This window comes from Homo sapiens, chromosome 6 (assembly GCF_000001405.40).
Source record: "Homo sapiens chromosome 6, GRCh38.p14 Primary Assembly".
NCBI classification, from domain to species: Eukaryota; Metazoa; Chordata; class Mammalia; order Primates; family Hominidae; genus Homo; species Homo sapiens.
Window position 1 is genome coordinate 77,140,714 of NC_000006.12, and position 16,644 is coordinate 77,157,357.

Below are 16,644 nucleotides of genomic sequence, written 5' to 3' on the forward strand. Positions count from 1 at the left end.
ACTATAAAAGGCTTCAGCCCCCAAGTAATCCATACTAGGAAATGATTGATTAGTAGTAAAATACTACTGCTAAAGTTATCCCAGGACATTATTCCTAATTTTATTGTTACATATCTGAACACTTCTTTGAATTGTTTTCTTCATTTATTTAAAACTTTTTTGTTGCATTTTACTGATATTTTGTGTTATATCATAAAAATAGAAATAAATAGGAAGTCACACATAAAAACATCACCCATAACAAAGCCCACACCAAAATAACATTTTGATTTTATCTACCATCTATCTATCTATCATCTATCTTTTAGCTTAATGTGTTTTGCAAATTTTCTACATCATTAGTCACCTCTATATAGAATGACATATAGCAACATATTGTAATGACAACATATAATTTAGCTATATTTATTCAAAAACAAATACTTAATGAATACTTGCAATGTATCAGGTAGTAAATTAAGTCATATGAGAATTACCAGGTAGCAAATGGTGTCCAATACAGAGAATACAATAAAATAATAAAGCAGGTTAAGGATAAAAGGGGCAGGATTAGTGTAACTTTTCCATGTAAGGAATAAGAGACCTCACTAAGGTTTCACTTGAGTTGGTACCTGAAGGGAGTGAGAAAGTGAGCCAAGTGAATACATGAGGCAAAAATTGCAGACAGTAAGAAGCGCAAGGCAGGGATGGTGAGGCATGGATGTGTCTGGCATTTGAGAAAAAACAAGGAATTCAAAGACGTTGGGGGGATGGTTGGTAGAAGACATCAGAGAGTGCGACAGGAAAAGCATATTTCAGATGTAGGGTCATGGAGAGGACTTTGAATATGAATTCTGGGTGAGACATTATGCCACCGGAAGATTTTAAGCAAAGAAGTGACATGATCTAACGTATTTTGAAAGTGTCACTGTAGCTACTGTGTTGAGAGTAGGCATTGAGAGAAGGTAAGCCAAAGGACAGAAAAAGGGAGACCAATAGAATAATTAGAATAATTCTGGACTCAGAGATGGGAGCTAGGATCAGATAGAAATGGAGATGATAAGTATTTAGGATCTGCATATACTTTGGAGGTAAAGTCAGTAAGATTTACTAGTAAATTCAATCTTGGGAAAGAGCAAGCATGAATTTAAAAAATATATTTAGCAATAATTTTATATTAGACAATTTGATTGAGATATATTTGTTCTAGATGCAGAAGATGTGACTGGTTTGGCTCATTCAATATCTACGAAGTCCAGTAAAATACCAGACCTGTAACAGATACTCAAGAAATATGTGCTGAATTAGTGAATAAATGTAGGAAACTGTATATTTCTATTCATTGTTTTATAAAGTGAATACATTCCTATTCACTGTTTTATAAAGTGAATAGAATTCACATAGTCAGTCTAATATCACATATTGTAAAAGTTCCTGCAAATATCTTTAAGAAATGGTATCTAATCAAAACCCTACGAATATTGCTGTCAGCATTCTGAGGTCCGGGCAGGATGGATAAGATAATTAAGATAACCTTGTCATAGAATAAAGCTGGAACTGGGATAAGCCTGTTAATCTCATTTTATTTAAAAATATCTGCATATTTTGTTTTCTGTCATAGATCCTTAGTTATTTTATAATGTGTACCTCACAGAGTGATGTTTTCCTTACAAATTAAAATATATGTGGATATGAATATGTAAATAAAGTATCTTTTCCTTACATAGATTATAAAAGAGTCATTTAAGGCCATTTAATGCTTCTCTTTGTAGTAGCTCTTATCTCACGCAGTATTATCTTTCTCCCATATGAATGTTGTATTAGCAATAGTGAATCTAGATAACCCTTATAATTAATTTTTCCAGACATCAAAAATTTCCAAAAAGTAAAAAATCCAAACATATTTATCTTTTCTTTAGTTATACTATTTAAGTCATACCCCAAATCTTCTGATCATAAAGGATTTTATAATTAGATGAAAAATAGGATTAATAGTGGTATTATTTTAAAGTTACAATGCAGAATGAGCTAGCTATGCTTTATATGAGGGCAAAATTTTCCTGAGTTATTTTGCCTTTGTAAATGCCTTCCTTGTGCTTGAGTTACCAAATGCATGTACTCCAGCCTACCATATTGTTACACAAATTGGTTTGGTAAGAAGACCATAGGTTTTTTGTAAGGCAGACTGACGTATCTAAAAGTTTGGCTCATTTTAACTAGCCAGGTAATCCTGGGCACATTATTCAATCTCTCTGAGCATCAGTGTTTTCAGAGATGATAAAATGTGCTATTCATGAAGTTTTCCATTCATTCACTTATTTATTTAAAATATTTTAAAGGCCCTAATATCTAATTATTTAAAATAGTTTAAAGGCCCTAATATCTAATAATATCTAATAAAGGCCCTAATATCTAATAATGAATATACCAGAAATCTAGCAGCATCTAAAATATTTGATGTAAGGACACACAAAATAAATAGTTTTCCCTTTCATTTGAAGAATATATAAATATATATATACATACACATTTATATATTTAACACTTCACCATTATATAATTATTTTATTTAAATTATTTTTAAGTAAACATATACTTTACCATATTTTAAATATTTTTTGAAAAATATAAAATATTAATATTTTATATTTATTAAAATATATTAAAATATAGTAAATATAAAATATTTATAAAATATAAATATATTTTTCAAAAAATATTTTGAAAAATATATAAAATATATAAAAATATATTTATAATATATAAAATATATAAAAATATATAAATATTTTATATTTATAAAATATAAATATATACCATATAATATAAAATTATAAATATATAATATATATTTAAATGCTTATACATTCTATTTTTCTTGTTTGAGATAAGAGCTACTAAAAAGAGAAGCACAAAATGGTATTTAAATGACTTCTCTTACATATATATGAAATTAAAATTTTCATTGGAAAGAAGGTCATGCAAAGAGCAAAACAGAGTTGTTATGTAAGGGACAAGTTTGAGAAAATCAAAACAAAATTTTCAAGTACAAGTAACATTTGCTGGGTATTAAAACTCTCAAAATGTGGCAAGCCAGGTTTCCATCAGCAACCAGAGCAGTCGGCCTTCACCAACACCTTAATGTAACTCTGATGAATGTGTAAGTTAAACATTAAAAGAAGAAACTGGTACCTTGGTACAAAGGCTAGAACGTAAAAACAAGTCCATTAAGACCACACCTATGCTTTCTCAGAACCTTAGAGTTTAATTAAAGTAATGGATAAGGTCTTACACACCTTGTACCAGAACCCACTTTAGATAGATAATTTTTCCAAGGGTCTGAAGTAATTGTCTAGGCCCAGTACCCTAATTAAAGATTAGATAGAGTAAAACACTTTGGTTTTCAGTTTGTAGGTGCATTGAATGTATACAAGCACTAGAGAACACTTTTAACTTTGAGTTGGTCTGGTGAGTTACTCCGATCTTCTCACTGTAACCAGTTGTAGAAATAAACTCCCTTCTTTCCCAGTCTGCCTGTATCTTGTTATTGGACCGTGAGAACAGACAGCTGGACACCACTCGGTCTGAACTCAGAAATGCTTGGCAAATTTCAGGTGACATTTTGGCTTTAGAAAGAAGTATAATTTCTAGTAAATTTGGTTTTACTATAAAACATATGTAGATTTAGGAAAATCAATAAAATTACTTGAAAGGGCAAAGCCAAGTTATGGTAATATATCTAATTGTGCATTTTAATTTTGTTTTGTATTTTTTATTACTTTTCTTATCAGAATGCTGAATGAACAAAATTATGACATACTAATCACAATGCTAGAGAAAAAGAGATAACTCATTAGTAAATGGTAGTATATATTCAGAAAAATGATCGTTTTTAACTTCTTTAAAAATTCATTTTAGAAAGTAGGGGTAGAGTATTCTGTAACCTAACTCAGATAATCAAAATATAGAGAAAAATTAAATGCAAGATAGCATTTGTTTATTGTCATGATTTTAAAACAGTATACCAGCATTGGTAATTTCTTTCATGATTAAGGAATTGTTCTTTATGAAATGGAATCAATAAAGCTTAAGCAAACTTAAAATAAGCTTAAAATTATAAAATAACATTTCTAGAAGTATTTATTTTGGTAATAACCAAGAAGATCTTTCACGAAAAATTCTTCCTCCTTTCTCTTAATACTGTACACTGAAACTAGTTAAATTATCATATTAAGTAAGGCCTTTGTGTTGCAGAATGGAGGAGTGGGTTAAGAAGAGAAAATCATCTCTTAATGGCAAAATTAGCAAATCTTATGCAATTTCCCATCAAAATGTCATGCTAATCTGTCTAGGCCTAGTTAGAAGCAGACAGGGCATAAAAGTTAACCAAACCTATGGAAAAGAACCAAAGTTTGCAGAAGAGGCAGGCAGCCCACCCTGACACACACCCACTCATTGACTCTCCTCTGCCCCCTCACAAGAAACACTCATGGACCTATGAACAGAAGATATTTGAATAAAAATCTGGTTTGATTTATTCTAATCAGATTTTAGAAATATCAGGTTATTATTACACTTATGAATCACTCTAATTTTTACTATATATATCTTAAAATGCACTGTAATAGGTAATTTTAATATTATTCAAAGACCATAGACTCTAAATACTTGATGTTTTAATGCATTTTTTAAAAAGAAAAGGGTTTAGATTCTAAATCTACTCACTTGGGAATTGTCACGTGATGAATATTTGAAAGCTTCTTAGGCCTGTGACCTCTTTTCTAGACTGCAAAATGAAACCTTAGGATCCTAGGAGTGCTTGTGAAACTTCAGCTTTTACACTAGAATTTTAGAGTGTCCAGATTTGTAGGAAAAAGATCATTTTTGTGAGAAAATAAGGCATCTGTGATTGTGTGTGTATATGTGTGTGTGCTTGTGTGCTGGAGTTTAAGCACTGTGGTGGATCAGCAGCCATTAGTGTGAAAAATATGTGGTATAAAGGAGAAACTTTGTGTTAAAACTATTGAGGAATTAAGGAGCATCATCAGAAGAGAAGAGACTGGCAGGGCAGCAGGAAGAGGAGCATCATGACAAGAGTCTGGAAGAATTCTTTAATTCTGACATGAATAATGAAAGAAAGCCAGTCACAATAAATCTGGATTTTGATGCCTCATCTAATGTCCAAGAGTTGCTACAATTACTTCAGAGTTTGCGAACCACACATACCACTTAACTCATGGATATCATATTACTGAGGCATATAAGCATATTTGTTTGTGTAAACTGAGATGCAAATTAAATTAGCAATGATAAACCACCTTTTACCTATTAAATTGTCAAGCATAAAAAACAATATTCAGGACCTGGATGTGTATGATAAGATGGGGCTTGTGATTCCATTCTGATAAGGATAAAATCGGCATGAAATATCATGAAAGAAGTTTGGGATCATATATCAATACATTTGAAAATTTTAACATTCTTACTATTTAATGTGGAACCCACTTCCCTAGTATCTCTCAAGAGAATAATAAAATGTGTCAAAGTTTTACAAAAAAAGATAATTAACTGCTGGAACAGTCTGGTGCCTATGAACTTGAAAAACTGGCCCTCCAGCTCTCCACTGGGGGACAAGGCCTCAGATTAAAGAAAAACTTCTGAGAGAAGAATCAAAATTGAGGAGGACAGGGGCAGTAGAGACAAATAAAAAAAGATCTAAACCAAAGTGGGTGAGGAGTCTAGATGCAGAATATCTCAGAAAGTAAGCTGCCAGCATTTGAGCATTACAGAGAACAGCAGAGGGGAGCCATGTGAAGTTATCAAAGCTTTCTTGAAATGTCCCTTCATCCTAAAAGTGTATGGAGCCTAATTTTACATAAAAATGTACAATATAAAATTATTACAAGAAAAAGAATAAGAAGAATATACCCCAACAATGAAAGCATATCATAAAGATACACCCATAAGAAAGCTAAATGACACTAAGGAAATGATACAAGACATAAAAGAACAATATAACATAAATAAAAATTTAAAAAAATTCAGAAATAATATGTCAGTCTTCAGGAAACAAAAATAAAAATAATTATTTAGAAAATAATACTAAAGTAAGAAGAAAATTATAATGAATAAATGTAGATAATCTTTAAGAGAAATAGAATGTATAAAAGAGTACATTTTAAAAGTAGTATTAAAAATTAGAAGAGATGAAAATAATTTTAAAAAATGACAAATATCAAAGATAGGCAGAAAAGGTTTAAAGTATTTAATAGAAGTTACAGAAATGAAAGCCAAAGCGAGATAATAAAATAACTTCCCTGAAATAATAATGTAAAAGACTTGAAATATATACTGACATAGCAAACCATAAATCTAAGAGTGTTGCCCCAGAGTCACCAATACCATTACACATTCCAGTAAAATTATTAGAAAAGGACAAATTATTTATGCACCTAGAAAATATAGTATTTGACTTATATGGGAAAGTATATTAAATTATCATGACAATTTCCAGAGCCACATTTTAAGAAAGAAGAAAATTGAGAAAAATGTTTAATTTACTCAAGAAAAAAAAATGTATAAGCCAATGGTTTTATATCCAAAACTGACAAAGTGCACAGATAAGCTTTTAACAACATGAAAGCACTCAAAAAATAATGTTCCCATGAGCATTTCCTCCAAAATATACCATAGAATAACATATAGATAACCACAATGACCAGAGAGACCCAGACATAAGGACTGATGTGAGCATTAACCATATGGTTGCCCATAGAATTAAGATGACATGAGAGCTAAGACGAAGACAGTATACAATGACTATGCATTCTGACCATTTGTTTATGAAGGGATTGTGGTAAACAATGGAGAAAGATAAAAAGTAAAATGATCAATAGTCATTTAAGTGCTAATACTTGTACTGTTATTCTAAAAGTAATATATAACAAATGAGAAATTATTGAATATCCAAATTTTATCATCTTCTTCTTTAGAACCAAGAGATAACAAAAACATCAAAGTTCTGTAGTCTTGAGTTTTACATAAAAATATCAATATACATTTTTAAGGTGTTATATCTTGGGTGAATTAAACTACAAAGAGATAGTATTCCATACCAACTAAAATAAAATGATAAATTAAAAAGAACTCTGACTACTCTTAAGTGTAAGTGTGGGAGAAGATGCAGGCCAACTGAAGCATCAATTTTCTTCTAGTGGGACTATGTATTGATCTAACCTCTGGCAAAAACCCTGTTTGATAGTATCTTTTGAATCTGTTACAAGTTTTACTCTTTTGTATAACTACAACAGAATTACATATCTATTTTCACCAAAATATAGGTGTAAACATGTTATTGCTGCATTATTGATAACAGTAAAAAATTAGAAACAACTAAAACGTCAATCAAACTTAGAATAACACATTGTAATATATTCATACAAAAATATATTTAATGAACAACTGATGTATATAATCACTCCAGTGAATTCCCAAATCATAATATTGAAAGAAGAATGTTAGACACGAAAATCCCACTGCTTTGATTCAATTTATGCAAAGTTTGAAAACAAGCTAAACTAAGCTATGGTGCTAAAAGTTAGGTAATTTATTTTTATTGTGGAAATGGGGTTAATAACTAAGTAGGCCCTGTAAAGGTTTCTGCAGTTTAAAGGTGTTACATTTCTTGAACTGTATAGTGGCTATATGTGTATGCTTTCTATATAATAATTTATCAAATACAGGTGTACACATACACTTGTAAATTTTTCCGTGTGTATGCTATAATAGATAATTGACACTCTGGTAAACCTTGTATACCCCAGCTACTGAGGATGTCTGAGACTGATAGCTCAGAGGTGACTTCCTCCCTTGAAATTGCCCTTGGCCACAGAGAACTCTATTCTAAAAGTATTCTCCTACTAGGGAGACACCATACTCCGTCACTGGATCATGCAATGATATAAAGGCCTAGACACTATATTTCATGTCAGAAAAACACTGAAGAGCCATTCCAGTTCTAAAGCTTTATTGAAACTGTGTTATGGGTTGACTTCTCTTTCTGCTCAATCCTGCTTTTTTTGGTTCATCACAGATAACATCTACCAAGAGCATTCCCCAATAAATCCTCTCTGCATAAAACTCTCCATCTTAGAGACTATGTCTAGGGAACTTCATATGATTCTGTTGTTACTAGAAGGGGTCCTAGAAAACAAACTGTAGAATAATATTCCAAAGCTGGATCAAAATGTTCAGGCCATCTAGCAATGAGGGCTGCATTGCTGGTGGTAAATGGAGGATGAGTAGACTTCACCTTTCACAGTTGATAAAATTGTTGCAAGTAGTGAACTCAGAACTCAAGTGCAGTACTGGTAGAAGAAGACACACTGGCTATGTAATTACTTCTGGAACTTAATGTCATATAGAAAATAGTAAGTATAAGGGCTACAAAGTAAATAGACTTTATTGAGAATCATTTTATTTTAATTTAAGCATCGATAATGATGAGCTCAGGTGATTAATTAGTTATCATTCCAAGGTAAAATGTGAAAGCCAGAAGGATTCTTGGCAGAATCTAAGGAGACTCTAATCATCTGCCACTGGTGGGCAGTCACTAGAGGACTAAATTCAAAAGTTAATAATACAACTAGTGGAGCTTCAGAGATAGTTGGATTCTCAGCCTCAGCAGGTTTTGTAAGCCAATGTCAAGATACTAACAAGAAAGAAATATTCCCCTTAGATTTGGAATGAAGATAATTGATTAGACGTAGCTGAAAACCTTGAAGTTCTATTTTCCCCCCAAATGCTCTTTTTTGGTGGAAGCATCTTCTAATTCCTTTGATACAAGACAGTGGTATTATTTTAAAGAAAGCATTGCTTGGAGATAATACAGAAATTTCAAATGACTTAGGTCCTTTAAAAGACAATGCTTCCGTCTAAGACCCCCACACACTAAGGAACTATCCTTTTTCCCTTCCAGGCAAATATTCCAATAATAAGGGTTAATTACCAGCACATTCCAATGAGACAAGTGCTGAACTAGTTAAGGGAAGAAAGAGACTATATGTAAAGGAATTGTAGCAGCTGTCTAATAGGTACCATGGGAGCCAGGAGAACATGAATGAAACTGGATCTGAAGGTGATGTAAAAAGGAGCATAGAACTTAGAGTTGGATATGAGATACTTTATCAATATGGAGCACTCTCTCATGATATGTAATTTAACACACTGGCAAGGACACCAGGAAACACTGATATATCAGCAGAAAGGCACTAGGGAAGTTTGAAAAAGTAATGGCCCATATAAATGTAGCAGAAGTGCCAGAATTGTGTGACAGATAGAAGACGAAGGCATTAAATGTGCATGCTACAGTGGCATACTATGTAAGATCAGAATAACCATCAGTAAACTATATTGCAAGAAAGATTAGAAGCACAGCTAATTCACTAAAGCAACACGCATTACACTGGTGAAAAAGGCACCGTCATTTCTGAACTCAGTATGGTTCTCCTCTGTAGGCCAGGGAATACTGTGACAGGACTGGCCTCCCTGAAAGAAACAGGTATGAGAGTATCCTGAAATAAAAAGAAGCCAGATAGTGGCTCTTAACTGTCAAAGCAAGAAGGACACATTTACCACCCTGGGAACCAAAGCTGAAGTGGCAGGCAGAGGAGGCATGCACCTCAGAGATGTTATATATATGATTATATATATGCATGATATATGACTAGTGATATGATTATACATATGATTAATATAACACAATATTTTCAAAGACAACTTAGGAAACCATCAAATATGTTTCTAAATTTACATAATTAAAATAAATAAAGAATGGATAATTAGGAGACTGAATGCAACTATACTAATAAAATATTGTTTTCCCTTTCCCAGTCCTAAGACCTGAGTACAGTTCTCAGATCCAGAATCAGCGGCGTGAGAAAGGATGAGGCAACACCACAAGTATATTAAAAAGTAATTCCTCCTATTCTTTCTGAAAATAACTGACAATTACGTAGTAAATAAGGACATTTGAAGGAAAGGACGTAGCCACACCTTTTGGGGATTATTGGATATGGATCTGAATTGGCATTGATATCTGTGGACCCAAAGCACCACCATTTTCCTCTTGTTAGAGTGACATTATTAATGAAGTTCTGGAACATGTCTGGTTCACTATGGATCTAATGGATCTATGAACTGTCCAGTGGGCATGTTCCTGATTTCTAAATATAACCTGAATAAAGAGACTTGGTAGTTGGCAGAATCCCAACATTGATTTGTTGGTTTGTGTGGTAAGAGGTATTATAGTGGGGAAGGCCCATTGGAAACTTCTTAAACTATTCATTTCCCCAGAAAAAAAAAAGAAACAATATTATATATTTGAAAAAAATTGATTAGTGTCACCTTAAAATATTAAAAGATAACTGGTGTCTTGCCTGCTTTGTGCTGCTATAACTGCATAGCTGAGACTGGGTAATTTATAATGAACAGAAATTGGTTTGGCTCACTGTTCTGAAGGCTGGGCACTCCAATGGCATGTTTCTGGCATCTGGTCAGCCACTGATGAGAACCTTCTTGCTGGGTCATCCTAGCAGAAGACAGAAAGACAAGAGAGCAAATGAGAGCTAGAGGGGGCCTAACTAGTTTTTATAGCAAATGCATTATTTTGATAACAAACCCATACCTGAGATAACTAACCCACTCCAGTGATAATGGTATTAATCCACTCATGACGTCAGAGCCCTTATAACCTAATCGACTCTTTAAAGGTCTCACCTCTAAACACTGTTGCATTGGGGATTAACTTTCCAACGCATTGATGTTGCGGGACACATTTCATCCATAGCAACAGGTGTGATTGTCCCCACCAGATTCCCATATAATTCAGTGCTCTAGTCCCTAAAAAAATAGATTATATGGATCACAGTGGCCTCATATAAACTTTACTTAGTAGTAGCTCTAATTACAGCTATTATGCCAAATACGGTATCTTTGCTAGAGCAGATTAATTTAGCTTATGGCACATGTAGCTATTGACCTGGCTAACAGCTTATTTTCCGTATCATATTTAAAGGAGCATAACAAATAGTTAGCGCCACATGAGATGAACAACAGTATATACTTACGATTTAGTCTCAAAGCTGTTAATTTTCTGAAGGTAAACACCCTCTGGACATTCCCCAGATAATTACTTTGGTCTATTTTGGTGTTTATATCACGTTGATAGGAGGATGAACAGGAAGTGGCAACTCACAAGGAGGGCGAAGTAAGATACACAGGCCCTAGAGGGTGGGAGATAAACTCTATAAAGATTCAAGAATGTGCCATGTAGGTGAAGTTTTGTGGCTCCAGAAATCCAGGTCATATTGGTACACCCAATCGAATGTATAGGACGAATAATCAAATTTTGCATATCCCACAAGTAAGAAACACAGGACCTCATAAGATGCTGATTTCTGGAGGCAGCATATTCTTGGGAAACTTGGTCCTAATTCATTTCCTCAGTGATTTGAAAGACTGTCAGCTTTCAGTGATACCTAAAGCAAGAAAGGCCTCAAAAGGGACCAGGCTATGGTAAAAGGAGACATTCCACCTAGGTGCTATGACCTGGGAGTCCTTATGGCTCTGCACCATTTTTTACAAAATTTTCAATAATAATGAAATTATTTCATATTTTCACTGTCCAATATAATAACTAATGGTCATAAGTCTGAAATAAAGCTTTCAGCAGGTCCATGGCCACTCTGGAGATTTTGGGGAGAATCCTTTCTTGCCTGTCCTAGATTCTGGTGACTGCTGGTATGCCTTGGCATCCCTCATTGTATGTCTCAAAACTCCTTCTGCCCCACTCACACAGATTGTCTACGATAAGCTGCTTCTCTCAAGATCTTTTACTTTATCACATCCTTTGCTATATCCGGTAATATTCACAGGTTATTGATATTAGGATATGAGCATATTTTTTTTTCAGAGCCAAATTCAACCCACTACAGGAAGCCTGTGTTATCTGTCAGCTCTTATGAAGCTTATAGATGGGTGCAGATGCAAGAGAGACTACAAATGAACAACAACAACAACAAAAATCAGCCAGCAACTGGTACCTGCAGATAATTGAAGCTATATTATAGAAAGTCATTAGGTAACTGTTTAAGATTAATTTTTCTGGAAAGTCTCTAGGAATTAGTGGTATTTCAACAATAATCCAAATCACAAGAAAAAATTAGGAGTTCAAATACCTTGAGGAAGAGCTTCCTAGGCAAAGGGAAAAGTTAATGTAGAGACAAAAGCTACAACAGGTATGGCATATTAAATAAATGAAAAACAAAACCATATAGCTAGAAAATAGTAGATAAACTTGGAGGTGTAGACATGGACCAAATCATATAGTACCTTGTAAACCAGAGTAAGGAATTTATCGATTAGTAACACTTACGTTCTGTAGCCTCACATAGCTTCCAAATTTCTTAACACAGTAAACATTATGTGTTGCTCCTTAGACACTTGTTGCAATCTGATATCCTTAAAGCAATTTCTTCCTAACCTCTGTTTGTTATCAATGTTGGGATGACGCTTTGCATAAATAATTTATTTCAAATTACTATGTCACCTGAATCGTTATATTAGCACAAGATGTGAAGTGTCTGATTCCAATCATAATTATAAAAATGATTGGTCCATGTTATGTATCTCAAAATCCTTGCTAGTTGATTAATTTGCTGAGTGAAACTTTTTATATTAAAAACTAACAAGTACAAATAAGAAGGTATGCTTTTATTTATATAGCATTTCTCATAAATCAATCAACAAGGGCAGGATAAATTGTTTTGATTGAATAAACAGAGAATTTCCAAAGGTCACTTTCGCTTTGTGTTAGAGTAACATATCTGTTTAATTTTTATCTTTGTGGGTACATAGTAGTTGTATATATTTATGGGGTACATTAGATGTTTTGATACAGACATGAAATGCATAATAATCATATCATAGACAATGGGATATTCATCCTTTCAAGCATTTATTCTTTGTGTTACAAACAATTCAATTATATTATTTTATTTATTTCAAAGTGTACATATTGACTATGGTCACATTTATGCTATCAAATAGTAGGTCTTATTCATTCTTTTTAATTTTTTGTACCCATTAACCATCCCCACCTCCACCCAGCATCCCCCCTACCCTTCCAAGCCTCTGGTAACCATCATTCTATTCTCTATGTCCATAAGTTCGATTGTTTTGATTTTAGAACCCACAAATAAGAGAACATGTGATATTTGTCTTTATTTGCCTGGCTTATTTCACTTAACATAATGATCTCCAGTTCCATTCAGACTGATGCAAATGACAGGCTCTCATTCCTTTTTATAGCAGAATAGTACTCCATTGTGAACATGTACTACAGTTTATTTATTCACTCATCTGTAGATGGACACTTAAGTTGCTTCCAAATCTTGGCCATTTTGAACAATGCTACAACAAACATAGTAGTGCAGATATCTCTTTGATATATTGATTTCCTTTCTTTTCAGTATATACTCAGCAGTGGGATGGCTGGGTCATGTGGTAACTTTAATTTTACTTTTTTCAAGAACCTCTAAACTGTTTTTCATAGTGACTATACTAATTTACCTTCCCACCAACATTGTACAAGGCTTCCCTTTCCTCCACATCCTCACCATCATTTGTTATTGCCTGTCTTTTGGATATAAGCCATTTTAACTAAGGTGAGATGATATCTCATTGTAGTTTTGATTTGTAGTTCTCTGATGAACAATGATGTAGAGCATCTTTTCATATACTTGCTTGCCATTTTTATGTCTTATTTCGAGAAATATCTATTAATATCTTTTGCCCATTTTCAAATCAGATTATTAGATTTTTTTCCTATAGAATTGTGTTAGCCCCTTATATATTCTGATTTTTAATCTCTTGTCCGATGTATGGATAGTTTGCAAGTATTTTCTTCTACTCTGTGGGTGTTTTTCTTCACTTTCTTCATGTCTTATTTGCTGTGCACCTAGAAAATATAGCATTTGACTTATATGGGAAAATATATTAAATTATTATGACAATTTCCAGAGCCACGCTTTAAGAAAGAAGAAAATTGAGAAAAACGTTTAATGTATTCAAGAAAAAAAATGTACAAGCCAATGATTTTATATCCAAAACAACTGACAAAGTGCACAGATAAGCTGTTAACTTTTTAACTTGCTGTGATCCCAATTGTGCATTTTTGCTTTGGTTGCTTGCACTTGTGGGGTATTCCTCAAGAAATTTTTTGCTCAGACTAATTTCCTGGAGATTTTCCCCAGTGTTTTCTTGTAGTAATTTCACTGTTTGAGGTCTTAAATTTAAGTTTTTAATCCATTTTGTTTTGATTTTTGTGTATGGCAAGAGATAGGAATCTAGTTTCATTCTTTTGCATATAGATATTCAGTTTTCTCAGCACCATTTATTGAAGAGATTATCTTTTTCTCAATGTATGCTCTTGGTAACTTTGTCAAAAATGAGTTCACTGTAGGTGTGTGGATTTGTTTCTGAGTTCTCATTGGTCTATATGTGTGGGGTTTTTTGTTTGGTTGGTTGGTTGGTTGGTTGGTTGGTTGTTTTTTTGTTTGTTTGTTTTTTGTTTTTCGTTTTTTTGCCAGTACCATGCTGTTTTGTTACTATAGCTCTGCAGAATAATTTGAAATCAGATATTGTGATTCCTTTAGTTTTTTTTGTTTTTTGTTTTTTGTTTTGTTTGTTTGTTTTGGATAGCTTTTGCTGTTCTGGGTCGTTTGTAGTGGCCTATTAATTTTAAGATTTTTCTCTATTTCTGCAAGGAATGTCATTAGTATTTTGATAGAGATTGCATTGAACCTGTAGATTACTTTGAGTAGTATGGACATTTTACCATATCCATATGGTAAAATTTAACAATTTAAAATATTGTTTTTTTCCAATCCATAAACATGAAATTTTTTTTCACTTTTTGGTATCTTCTTCAGCTTCTTTCATCAATGTTTTATAATTTTCACTACAGAGATCTTACACTTCTTTGGTTAATTCCTAGGTATTTAATTATTTTTGGCTATTGTAAATGGGATTACTTTTTTGATATTTTTTCAGATTGTTCACTGTTGGCATATTGGAACGCTACTGAATTTTGTATGTTGATTTTGTGTCTGGCAATTTTAATGAACTTGTTGATCACACATAAAAATGGCAATAGTTTCTAATGGTTTTCTTGTGGAGTCTCTAGGTTTTCCTGAATATAAGATCCTATCATCTACAAACATGGATTATTTGATTTCTTCCTTTCCAATTTTGATGCCTTTATTTCTTTCTCTTGTCTGATTGCTCCAGCTAGGACTTCCAGGATTACATTGAATAACAGTGGTCACAGTGAGCATCCTCATCATGTTCCAGGTCTCAGAGAAAAGGCTTTCAGTTTTTCTCCATTCTGCATGATATTAGGGTGTGGGTTGGTCATGTGGCTTTTATTATGTTGTTATTCTTCTATAACCAGTTTTTATATTTTTTTATCATGAAGGAATGTTAAACTTTATCAATTGCTTTATAGGCATCAGTTGAAATGATCATATGGGTTTTGTCCTTCATTCTGTTGATATGATGTATCACATTGATTGATTTGCATATGTTAAACCATTCTTGCATCCTGGGATAAACCCTACTTGGTCATGATGAATAATCCTTCTAATGTATTGTTGAATTTGATTTACTAGTATTGTGTTGAGTATTTTTACATCAATACACATCGGAGTTATTTACCAGTAGTTTTCTTTTTTGGATGTGTCTTTGTCTGGTATTGGTATTAGAGTAATACTGGCTCATAGAACGAGTTTGGAAGTATTCCCGCCACCTCAACTTTTAAGAATAGTTCAAGTAGTATTGGTTTTAGTTCTTTAAATGTTTGGTAGAATTCAGCAACAAAGACATTGGGTTCTGGGCTTTTCTTTACTGGGAAACTTTTTATTATGGCTTTGATCCCATTACTTGTTGCCGGTCTGTTCAGGTTTTGGGTTTCATCATGGTTCAATCTTGGTAGGTTGAATTTGTCTATTTATTTTAGATTTTCCAATTTACTGGCATATAATTGCTCATCATAGCCTCTAATGATCCTTTGAAATTCTGAAGTATCAACTGTAATGTTTCTTTCATCTCTGATTTTATTTATTTTGGTCGTCTTTCTTTTTTCTTAGTCAGTCTTGCTAAAGGTTTGCCAAATTTGTTAAATGTTTTAATAAAACCAGCTTTTTAATTCATTGATCTTTTGTATTTTTAATTTTAATTTTATTTATTTCTGCTCTAATCTTTATTTTTTTCTTCTACTAATTTTGGGTTCGATTTGCTCTAGCTTTTCTAGTTCCTTTAGATGCATCACTAGGTGATATATTTGAAGTTTTTCTGCTTTTTTAATGTAAGCACTTAATAGCTATAAAATTTCCTCTTAGTACAGCTTTTCTTGTATCCCATAGGTTTTAGTATGTTGTGTTTCCATTATCATTTGTTTCAAGAAATTTTCAATTTCCTTCTTAATTGCTTCATTGAATCACTGGTCATTCAGCAGCATGTTGTTTAATCTCAATGTATCTTTGTGGTTTCCAAATTTCTATTGTCATTGATTCCTAATTTTACCTTGTTGTGGTCAGAAAAGATGCT

General features: G+C 32.8%; 1 long non-coding RNA gene across 5 annotated transcripts in view; it reads right to left on the reverse strand.

Moving 5' to 3' along the window:
• Positions 1 to 16,644, reverse strand: part of LOC101928570 (uncharacterized) — a 248,816-nt gene that overhangs the window by 72,050 nt on the left and 160,122 nt on the right. For 2 of the 5 annotated variants that reach the window (XR_241864.5, XR_007059650.1), the window contains 2 exons: positions 11,106 to 11,261; positions 10,488 to 10,567 (listed from right to left, as the gene is read on the reverse strand). This is a non-coding gene — a long non-coding RNA (uncharacterized LOC101928570). Of the gene's footprint in view, positions 1 to 2,844; positions 10,568 to 11,105; positions 11,262 to 16,644 lie in introns of those variants that run through there. The other 3 variants (XR_001744206.2, XR_001744205.2, XR_001744207.2) reach the window with 2 other exon arrangements.